At 35.3% G+C, this 12,807-nt stretch overlaps 1 annotated feature.

Moving 5' to 3' along the window:
* Positions 1,399–1,599: a silencer, noted in NCBI's record as "peak5226 fragment used in MPRA reporter construct". NCBI's record gives its function as "represses an SCP1 promoter by STARR-seq MPRAs in K562 erythroleukemia cells {active_cell/tissue: K562}" and the evidence as "EXISTENCE:reporter gene assay evidence [ECO:0000049][PMID:32103011]".

Below are 12,807 nucleotides of genomic sequence, written 5' to 3' on the forward strand. Positions count from 1 at the left end.
TATTTTCTTTGCACAACTGACTAGGAGTAAATAAATTATCACCACATTGGGTGATGAAAAAATTTTTGAAAAAGCTGCTGTGTTGCTCCTGACAGATTTTTTTCCCATTCTTTGTACTAGTTTCCGAGCTTGAATGCATTATAACCAACGACAGTTATCTTAAAGCTAGTCATATAACATTCCCTGGTCGATTGATTTTATTATATACAGTTAACGATAAAAGAAGTGTTTATATGGGTGGGGGAGTGGCAAACATAAATGTAAAATAACAGTATTTATTTTACATTTACTCTTCACTTTGACAAGCAAATAATGTGGTTTCAAGAATGCTTTTGAAAAACAGATAACCAGGCCGGGCGCAGTGGCTCACGCCTGTAATCCTAGCACTTCAGGAGGCCAAGGCGGTTGGATAACCTGAGGTCAGGAGTTCAAGACCAGCCTGGCCACCATGGGGAAATTTCATGTCTACTAAAAATACAAAATTAGCCAGGCATAGTGGCACATGCCTGTAATCCCAGCTACTCGGGAGGATGAGGCAGAAAAATTGCTTGAACCCTGGAGGTGGAGGTTGCAGTGAGCCAAGATTGCACCACTGCACTCCAGCCTGGGCAACAAGAGTGAAACTCTGTCAAAAAAGAAGAAAAGAAAAGAAAAGAAGAAAAGAAAAACAGAAAACCAGTAGAAAAATGTTAATATAAGATAAATACTTTCAAAAACACTGGAAAATATTGAAATAAGGGAAGCACAGCCCATATAGGAAAAGACAGTATACATAGTAATGAAAGAAAAAGAAAAAACATGTTTTAAAAAGAGGACATATATACCAACTATATCATACTCACAATAAAAATAAATAGCTTAATCTCCACTATTAGAGCTTGAGATTTTCAGAATATTTACAAATTCTAACTATATTTTATTTATAAAACATTTATCTAAATCACAGAAAGTTTAGGAGTAATAGGATAGGCAAAGATATGATAACTAAATGCAAACAAACATAGTTACTCAGTATCCATATGTCATAGTCGAATTTACTCCTCCCCCTAAAAATGAACAAGACGGAGGGTAATTTCTTTTCTAATTATTTATTTATTTTAAATTAACAGATAACATTGTATGTTTTTATCATGTACAACATGACATTTCAGAGTATATAAACATTGTAGAATGGTTAAATTTCAGTAATTAACAAATGCCTTACCTCACATAGTAATTGTGGCGAAAGCACATAACATCCACTTTATATTTTTTAAGGAAACAAATAAGCATACAATGTGTCATCATTAACTATCGTCACCTTGCTGTACTGTAAAGCTCTTGAAATTTATTGCTTCTATCTAACTTCTGTCTATCTAATTATTATGACTGACCAAATCTCCCTCCTGTCTAACCGTCCAAGCCTCTGCTAACCACCATTTTACTCTCTACTCCCATTAGATCAGCCTTTTCAGATTTCACATGAGTGAGATCATGCAGCACAGTAGTCCCTCCATATGCACAGTTTTGCTTTCCAGTGTTTCAGCTACCCACAGTCAACTGTGGTGTGAAAATAGGTAAGTACAGTAAATGTGTATATACCACATTTTCTTTATCCATTCAACCACTGATAAACACTTAGACTGATTCCATATCTTGGCTATTGTGGATGGTGCTGTGATAATCACAGGAGTACAGATCACTCTTTGACATAGTAATTTCATTTCCTTTCGATATATACCCCGTAGTGGGATTGCTGAACCATATGGCAGTTCTATTTTTAATATTTTGAGGAAGCTTCATACTGTTTTCCATAATGGTTGTACTAATTTACATTCCCACCAATGTATAAGGGCTCCCTTTTCTCCACATTCTTGCCAACACTTATCTTTTGTCTTTTTGATAATGGCCATTCTCACTGGGGTGAGGTGATATCTCATTGCGGTTTTGATTTACATTTCCCTGATGATTAAAAATGGTGAACATTTAAAAAACATACCCGTTGCCCATTTGTATATCTTCTTCTGAGAAATGCCTACTCAGATCTTTTGCCCATTTTAAAATCAGGGTTTTTGTTGTTGTTGTTGTTGTTGTTGAATTCTGTTCCTTATGTATTTTGGATATTAACCCCTTTTCAGATATATAGTTTGCGAATATGTTTTCCCATTTAAAGAAGGTAATTTTATAAGAATCTTAATCATGATAGTGCTCACAAAAGCCAGTTAAAAAAGGAAACAAAAGAATTTTAATCATGAACCTTTATGAACAGAATAGCACTCAGTTAGAGAAGGCAAAAAAAATAAGTGTGGTGCATCATGAAGAAAATAAGAGCACCTGTTTTGCTGTTTGACAAGTCAAATAGTAAAAGTAAATAAATTAAAACAGGCCGGGCGTGGTGGCTCACGCCTGTAATCCCAGCACGTTGGGAGGCTGAGGCGGGTGGATCACCTGAGGTCAGGAGTTAAAGACCAGCCTGACCAACATGGAGAAATCCCGTCTCTACTAAAAACACAAAATTAGCCGGGTGTGGTGGCAGGCGCCTGTAATTCCAGCTACTCGGGAGGCTGAGGCAGTAGAATCGCTTGAACCTGGGAGGCAGAGGTTGCAGTGAACGGAGATCACACCACTGCACTCCAGCCTGGGCAATAAGAGCAAAACTCCATCTCAAAATAATAATAATAATAATTAATTACTTAAAACAAAGATCTGAATAATATAGGAAAGTTGAATAGCTATAGCTACAGTTGCAGCCAAATTTTATTCCCTACAGGAAATACATTATCCTTTCTAGAGCCCATTAAACATTTATAAAGATTGATCATGTATATTATGCCATAAAAATTGTCAATAAATTCCAACTGTAGATACTGCAGAGGTAACATTCTGTTATTAGAACAAAACAAAACAAAACAAAAAATATGGCTAGTTTCCCAATTTATTTTATTAAGCCAGCATAATTTGATGGCAATCCTTGACAAATGTATGACATGAATTCACTTAAAATATAGATGGAAAATTCTAAATATAATATAAGGAAAGTGGAATTTAGGAGCACACTAAAAGAAAGAATGCACTGCAAACAATTGGCTTTATCTCAAGAATATAAAGCAGATTTATTGCCAATCTCTTATTATGGCATCTGTAAATCAAAATAGAAAACTTCATGATCATGCTAATAGATGCTAGAAATGCATTTGATAATATTCTGTAACCATTCCTGATAATAACTTTGGTAAATCAGAAGAAAGCCTGCTTTAACATAGCAAACAGTTACAAGTATAAATAACTATTTAATCCTCACCAATACACTAATGGTGGACAATATTATTGTTTCTGACTTATAAATGATAAGTGAAGCATAGAGAGGTTACAACACCTTCCACTAATAAGTAGAATGGAAATGAAGCCAACATAATATTTGTATCAGTAAGAGTTCCACAGAAAAACAGAACCAGTAGGAGATATGTATTAAGAGATTTATTGCAACAAGGCCAGGCCAGTGGCTCATGCCTGTAATCCCAACACTTTGGGATGCCAAGGAGGGCCGATCACCTGAGGTCAGGAGTTTGAGATCAGCCTGGCCAACATGGTGAAACCCCATCTGTACTAAAAATACAAAAATTGGCCAGACATGGTGGCCCATGCATGTAATCCCAGCTACTTGGGAGGCTGAGGCAGGAGAATCGCTTGAATCTGGGAGGCAGAGGTTGCAGTGGGCCGAGATCTCACCACTGCACTCCAGCCTGTGAGACAGAGCGAGGCTCCACCTCAAAAAAGAAAAATTAAAAAAAAAAAAAGATTTATTGCAATAAATTGATTTTTGTAATTCTGGGAGCTGGTTACAAGTGCAAAATCTGTAGGCAGGTCATCAGGAAAGGAAGGTACAGAAAGGAAGCTGCAATCCACGGATGGAAGTTTTTCTTCAGGGAAGCCTCAGTTTTGTTCTTAATGCCTTTCAACTGATTCAGGCAGGCCTACACAGAGTATGGGGCATAATCTCCCTTACTTAGTAAAGTAAGACTTCGTTTTTATAAAAAGGTTTTATTTGGCTGGGCCTGGTGGCTCGCTCCTGTAATCCCAGCACTTTGGGAGGCCGAGGCGGGTGAATCACAAGGTCAGGAGTTCAAGACCAGCCTGGCCAAGATGGTGAAACCCCATCTCTACTAAAAATACAAAAATTAGCCAGGCGTGGTGGCACATGCCTGTAATCCCAGCTACTCAGGAGGCTGAGGCAGAGAATTGCTTGAACCTGGGAGGCGGAGGTTGCAGTGAGCCGAGATCGTGCCACTGCACTCCAGACTGGGTGACAGACTGAGACTCTGTCTCCAAAAAAAAAAAAAAAGGTTTTATTTTAGGTTCAAAGTTACATGTGCAGGTTTGTTATATAGATAAAAAGTGTGTCACAAGGGTTTGGCGTACAGATTATTTCATCTTCCAGGTAATAAGCATAACACCCAATAGGTAGTTTTTCAATCCTTGCCCTCCTCCCATTCTCCACCCTCAAGAAGACCCCAGTGTCTATTGTTCTCTTCTTTGTGTCCATGTGTACTCAATGTTTAGCTGTCACTTACCAGTAAGAAAATGCAGTATTTGGTTTTCTGTTCCTGCCTTAGCTTGCTTAGGATAATGGCCTCTAGCTCCATTCATGTTGCTGCAAAGGACATGATTTTGTTCTTTTTATGGCTGTGTACTATCCTATGGTATATATATATCACATTTGCTTTATCCGGCCTACCATTGATGGGCATTTAGGTTGATTCCATGTCCTTGCTATTGTGAATAGTGCTGAAATGAACACATGCATGCATGTGTCTTTTTGGTAGAACAATTTCTATTCCTTTGGATATGTACCCAATAATGGGATTGCTGGGCCAAATGGTAGTTCTGTTTTAAGTTCTTTGAGAAATTGCCAAACTGCAGTCCACAGTGGCTAAACTAGTTTACATTCCCACCAGCAGTGTATAAACATTCCCTTTTCTCTGCAGCCTCACCAGCATGTTATTTTTTGACTTTTTAATAATAGCCTTTCTGACTGGTGTGAGATAGTATCTCATTTCGGTTTTGATTTGCATTTCTCTAACTATTAGTGATGTTGAGCATTTTTCATATGCTTCCTGGCTGTGTATATGTCTTCTTTTGAGAAGTGTCTGTTCATGTCCTTTGCCCACTTTTTAATGGGATTGTTTGTTTTTTTCCTGTTAAGTTCCTTATATATTCTGGATATTAGATCTTTGTTGGATGCATAGTTTGCAAATATTTTCTCCCATTCTGTAGGTTGTCTGTTTACTCTAAAGATAGTTTATTTTGCTGTGTAGAATCTCTTAGTTTAATTAGGTCCCATTTGTCAATTTTTGTTTTTGTTGCAATTGCTTTTAGTGCCTACTTCATGAAATCTTTGCCAGGACCTATGTCAAGAATGGCATTTCCTAGGTTTTTTCTTTATTTCTGGGCTGTTCCATTGGTCTATGTGACTGTTTGTGTACCAGTGCCATGCTGTTTTGGTTACTATAGCCTTGTAGTATAGTTTGAAGTCAGGTAATGTGATGCCTCCAGCTTTGTTCCTTTTCTTAGGATTGCTTTGGCTATTCAGGCTCTTTTTGGGTTCCATATGAATTTCAGAATAGTTTTTCTAATTCTATGAAAAAATGTCGTTGGTAGTTTGATAAGAATAGTATTGAAACTGTAGATTGCTTTGGGCAGTATGACCATTTTAACAATATTGATTCTTCTTGTCTGTGAGAATGGAATAGTTTTCATTTGTTTGTGTTGTCTCTGATTTTTTTCAGCAGCGTAATTTAATTCTCATTGTAGAGATCTTTCACCTCCCAAGTAAGACTTTAATCCTACTTTAATCACATCTATAGAATCTTATCCTAAATATATTATATATGCACCCAACATTGGAGCACCCAGGTTCATAAAACAGCTACTTCTAGATCTACAAAAAGACTTAGACAGTCACACAATAATAGCAGGGGGACTTCAAAACCACACTGAAGAATTAGACAGAACATCAAGGCAGAAAACTAACAAAGTAACTCTGGACTTAAATTCGACACTTAACCAACTGGATATAATAGACATCTACAGAACACTCCACCCATAAATTGTAGAATATACATTCTTCTCATCTGTACATGGAATATACTCCAAGATTGACCACGTGCTAGACCATAAAGCTAGTATCAATAAATTTAAAAATATTGAAATCATACCAACCATACCCTGAGACCACAGTGGAATAAAAATAGAAATCAATACTGAGATCTCCCAAAACCACACAATTACATGGAAATTAAACAACTTGCTCTTGAATGACTTTTGGGTAAAGAATGAAATTAAGGCAGAAATAAAAAAATGTTTTGAAATAAAGGAAAATACAAACAAAACATACCCAAATCTCTGGGATGCAGTAAAAGCAGTGTTAAGAGAATATTTATGGCAGTAAACACCTACCTCAAATGGTTAAAAAGATCTCAAATTAACAATCTTACATCGCACCTAAAGGAACTAGAAAAACAAAAACAAACTAACCCCAAAGCTAGCAGAAGAAAAGAAATAACTAACATCAGGGAAGAAATGAATAAAATTGAGACCCAGAAATTCATACAAAAATCAATAAAACAAAAAAATTGTTTTTCAAAAGAATAAACAAGATCAATAGACCACTGGCCAGAGTAACAAAGAAAAAGAAAATTCAAATAAGAACAATCACAAACAACAACGGTGACATTACAACCAATTCCACAGAAATACAAAAGACCCTCAGAGGCCATTATGAACACCTTCATACACACAAACTAGAAAATATAGAAGAAATGGATGTCTTTTGCAACAACTTGGATGGAACTGGAGGCCATTATCCTAAGTAGTAACTCAGGAACAAAAAAGCAAATACCTCCTGTTCTCACTTATAAGTGGGAGCTAAGCCATGGATTACACAAAGGCATACAGAGTGGTAAAAATGGACATTGGAGACTCAGAAGTAAGGAGGGTGGGAAGGAGGTGAGGGACAAAAAAAGGTCACCTATTGAGTACAATGTATACTACTTAAGTAACAGGTGCAATAAAAGCCCAGACTTCATCACTATACAGTTCATTCAAATAACAAAAACCACTTGTATCCCTAAAGCTATTAAAATAATAAATAAATAAATAAATAAATGCTTTCTTTCTTCAATAACAAATTAACCTTAACTTATGGTAACTTTTTTACTTATAATTTACTTACTTTTAATTTTTTTTAACTTTTAAGATTCCTTTGTAATAACACTTAAGTTAAACACACATTGTACACCTGCACAAAATAATTTTTTCTTTATATGCTTGTTCTATAAGCTTTTTTCTATTTTTAATTTTTATTCTTTTACTTCTTAAACTTTTTATTAAAAACTAAGACACACACACATTACCTATATGACTGGCAGTGCGGTAGGTTTGTTTGTAATAGTGTCACCACAAACACATAAATAATGTATTGTATTACAATGTCAGGACATCACTAGGCAATAGGAATTTTTCAACTTCATTATAATCTTATGAGACAACCACTGCATATGTGGTCCTGTTGATCAAAATATTGTTAGGCAGCACATGACTGTGTTGTCTATCCTATGTTGAAATTTACATGATTATCTCAAATGTCTTTTGTGTAGTTGTTAGACCTATACAGAGTCTCCAGGCTTGCCACCAAGGCTATACTGTTCATGGACTCTTTGTGCAAGCACTATGGTGGTTGAGGACAGAGACTGGCTGGTCTCTAATGGCTGAGTTATCATGTCCACTTGTTCAATGCATTCTCTGTGGTTGATACCCTCTTTATTCACTGACTTCTATCTCCCCTTGTTTAGGGGTTTCCCCAAGAGCATAATTCTTCCCACACTTCTGGGTCATGTTTACACACAATCAAGAAAATTTCCGTGGTGTTGAAGAAGGCCTACAGGCAGTAAAGTGAGAAATGCAGGTCCTTGTGGAAGGAAGCTGTCAGCATGCCAGGAACTGTCTGCAGCTATAGGTATGCTCACGTTAAGTGAAGGCAATATGCGGTGAGATAGTAGAAGCATCAGCTATAAATAAGAAATGTCATAAGCCTATGCTATAATAGAGAAAATAAAAGTTTGGACAAAGCTTCCCAAGCATAGGCAAGGTTAAAAGAAATTAAATAGAATCTATGAATAGAAACAAGAAGAAGAAGATAAAGGAATGTAGCATGCAAAAGACAAACGAAAGACTAAAATTGGAATAGGGCTCAAGAAACAGGAGAATATTATTTTACAATGTCTCTATAGAATAACTTTATTAAGAATATTAATTTGACCAGGAACAGTGGCTCACACCTGTAATCCCAGCACTTTGGGAGGCTAAGGCAGGCGGATCACAAGGTCAAGAGATCCAGACCATCCTGGCCAACACGGTGAAACCCCATCTCTACTAAAAATACAAAAATTAGCTGGGCGTGGTGGCACATGCCTGTAGTCCCAGCTACTCGGGAGGCTGAGGCAGGAGAATCACTTGAACCCGGGAGGCAGAGGTTGCAGTGAGCCGAGACTGCGCCACTGCACTCCAGCCTGGCCACAGAGTGAAACTTTGTCTCAAAAAAAAAAATTAATTCAATATAAAAAGAATGCAAAGGCAAGAACATATAACAACATGGAGATGGGAAAGGAGATGGAGAATGAAAAAAAGCATATTGAGAATACCAAAAACCTCTCACCATTATATATCCCATAAGTAACCTAGATACGGCAAGGAATAAAACAGATAAGGCTAAATATTAAATCAATGATGTGGAGGAATATCTTAAGATAAAAAGAGTGAATACATAATAAAAATAAAAGAAATGAAATGAATGAAGGTAAAATAATAGAGAACAAAGACAGTTCAACTTAAATGTAGGTGGTGTCCTTGAAGTAAAAAATAAAATGGATTTAGAGGGGGAAAATGTATTTAGAGATATAAAATTACCCTGAAATGAATAAAGAACAGAATCTAAAAACTTGAAAGAGCACACTAAGTATCAAGTAAAAATGATATAATGTACTAAATACCACGACGTAGTCTGATTAAACTGTTAAACTTTAGAAATAAAGGAATCTGTATGTGTACTATATTTCATAATAAAATATATAAATTTAAAAATAAAGGAAGAAATCCAGGCAGAAATTTAAAAGTCATAAATAGGGTAAAAATGCAGGATGACTTATCCACAGAAAATTTAATTCCAGAAGACATTGGAATAACATATACCAGATTCTGAGAAAAAGAAAAGATCTACCCATACATGTTGTCTGGTATAAAAACCACAGGTAAACATTTTTAAACAAAAATCATACTTTCTTAAAACACATTTTGAAAAAACTATTTAACGATGAAATCCAGTCACACAAGCAAGGAATCAAAACAAAAGAGTGTAGGAATCTAAAATGGTAAAATCAATGTAAAAGACTGAATCTATTGAAAGTAGCTCTAAGCAGCCAGAGAAATAATTTCATCTCAAGCAAAACATAAGTATAGACTGAACAATCAAACAAAAAAACCAGTAAGGGTATAATGGGGCTGAAAAACACTATAAATCAATCTGACATAACTAATATTTATAGAACACTATATCCAACAACTACAGAATACACACTCTTTTCAGTGCATATGGAATGTTTATGAAGACCACACACTAGGGTATAAAATAAATCTCAAGAAAATGAAATGTATTGAAATTATAGAGTAATATAATTTTGTTGCATATGTGACCACAAGGCAATAATTAGAAACCAACAACAGGAAAATATCTAAAAATATGCAAATGTTTGGAACTAACAATATACTTCTAAATAACCCATAGGTAAAAGAATATGTCACAATAGAAATTAGAAAATATTTTGAACTCAATGAAAATGAAAGAACAACAAAGCAAATTTTGTGAGATGAAGCTAAAACAGCGTATAGGAAGAAATTTATGGAATTTTAATTGTTTAAACAATCATAAAAGAAGCTCTAAAGTCAATGAACAAAGCTTTGACTTGAAGCTAAGAAAAAGAAGAGCAAATTAAACCCAAAGTAGAAGAAAGAAAATATTAAAGTTAGGAGCTAAAGTCAGTAAAGTTGAAAACAGAAAAACTGTACATAAAAATCAATTAAAAACAAAACCTGTTTATTTGAAAAAGTAAAATTGATAACCTTCTAGCTAGAGATATTACATCCATTAAAAAGATAATAAAGGGCCAGAAGCGGTGCCTCATGCCTATAATCCCAGCAGTTTGGGAAGCCAAGATGGGAGGATCACTTGAGCCCAGGAGTTTGAGACCAACGTGAGCAACCTAGTGAGACGCCATCTCTACAAAAAATTTAAAAATTACCCAGTTGTGGAGGTGCATGCCTGTAGTCCCAGCTATTTGGCAGGCTGAGGTGGGAGAATCACTTGAGCCTGGGAGGTTAAGGCTGCCGTGAGCCTCACATCACTACACTGCAACCTGAGTGACAGAGCAAGACACTGTCTTAAAAAAAAGTGACAATAAAGGCATATTACAAACAATTTGATCCCATAAATTTGACAAAAGAGATGAGATTTTTAAAAATTCTTTGAAAAAAACAAACTACTAAAACCTAGTCAAGAAAAAGTAAAAATCAAATAATCCTCTATTAAAAATTAAATTTATAATTTAAAAGCTTCCTACAAAGAAAATTTCAGGCCCAGCTGGTTTCATAGACAAATTCTATCAAACACTTAAGGAAAAAATAATATCAATTCTACACAAAGTCTTTCAAATAAATTAAAGAAGTGGAAATATTTCTTACTCAACTCATTCCATAATGCTAGGATTTCTTGGATACCAAAATTAGACAGACATTATAAGGGGGAAAAAGCCTACATATCAATGTTTCACACTAATATATACTCAAAAACCCTGAATAAAAGTTTAGCAAAATAATACAACAATATATAATAAGGAGAATATATGATAACCAAATGATTTTCATCTCAGGAATGCAAGGTTTGCTTAACATTATTATAATATTGTCAATCAATGTGATATTGCTTAGAACAAAGGAAAAACTATTGATTCTAATAAATGCAGGAAAAGCATTTAATAAAAATCCAACATCCATTTATTATAAAAATTTTCAGGAATCTAGGAAACAATGGAAGTGTTTTCATCTAATAAAGAACATTGAAAAACCTACAGCTGACATCATCCCTAAAAGCAGACTTTCGTCCTTACATCAGGAAGAAGGCAAGGATACCCTTTCTAACCATGTTCATTCAGTATTATACTAGACTTCTTAGCCAGTGTGATCAAGCAAGAAAAAGGAATAGAAGACATAACTACTGAAAAGAAAGAAACAAAGCAGTCCTTGTTCTGCAATGATATGATTATATATGTAGAAAGTCCTAAGAAATCTACAAAAAGAATACTAAAACGAATAATGGACAGTTTAATAAAGGTCAATATATAAAAATTAATTTATATTTCTGTATACTAACAATGAAATATTAAAAATTGAAAGTTTAAAAACACCACTTAAATGTCACAAGCAATCTACAGGATCAATTTTGCAAAAAATATATAAGACTTGCATTCTGAAAGCTACAAAACAATAGTGAAAAATATTTTAAAGACCCAAATAAAAGAGATATACTATGTTTATAAATTGGAAGACTCAACATTGTTAAGATGTCATTTCTTTCCAAATTGATTTATAGATTCAATGCAGTCCTAATCAAAACCCAAGCAGGTATTTTTATAGAAATTGACAAGCCGATTCAAATATTTATATGAAAATTGCAAAGGACCTAGAATAGTTAAAACAACTTTACAAAAGAAAAACTAAATGAGATGATTTATATCATTTGATTTCAAGACTTGCTGTAAAACGATAACAATCAAGATGTACTACTGACATATGGATAAAAAGATACATCAGTGGAACAGAATAGACAGTCCAGAAATAGGCCCATACTTTTGGGGGTAACACCTATCTTTTTTTAAATAGACACTGCTAAGAAAACGAAAGGAGAAGTCCAGGAGCGGTGGCTCATGCCTGTAATCCCAGCACTATGGGAGGCCGAGGAGGGTGGATCTCAAGGTCAGGAGTTTGAGACCCATCTGGCCAACATAGTGAAACCCTGTCTCAACCAAAAATACAAAAATTAGCTGGGCATGGTGGCACACTCGTCCCAGCTACTCGGGAGGTTGAGGCAGAATAGCTTGAACCCAGGAGGCAGAGGTTGCGGTGAGCCAAGGTCATGCCACTTCACTCCAGCCTGGGCAGCAGAGCGAGACTCTGTCTCAAAAAAAAAAAAAAAAGAAAGAGAACAAAAGGAGAAGCCATAGACTGGGAGAAACTTTAATGTATCTGTTATATATTATATAACTTGTAACCAGAATATATAAAGAGTTTACAACTCAGTAAGAAGTTTACAACAAAATTTAAAAATGGGCAAAATATTTGAACAGATACTTTGCAAAACTGGATACACAAATGGCCAATACACATATGGAAAGATGCTCAATACTAGCAATCTTCAGAAAAATTAAATTAAAACCACAATGTGATATCAATTCATATCCATTAGTATAATGCTATTAAAACGACTGCCAAAATCAGCTGGGCGTGGTGGCACATGCCTGTAATCCCACTACTCAGGAGACTGAGGCAGGAGAATCTCTTGAACCTGGAAGGCAGAGGTTGTGGTGAGCCGAGATCACGCCATTGTACTTCAGCCTGGGTGACAGAGCGAGACTCCATCTCAAAAAAAAAAAAAAAAAAAAAAAAAAAGACTGTCAATGCCAAGAAGCAACTGAAACTCTTATGCATTGCTGGCAAAGATAT

Source organism: Homo sapiens, chromosome 5 (genome assembly GCF_000001405.40).
Source record: "Homo sapiens chromosome 5, GRCh38.p14 Primary Assembly".
Lineage (NCBI taxonomy): Eukaryota > Metazoa > Chordata > Mammalia > Primates > Hominidae > Homo > Homo sapiens.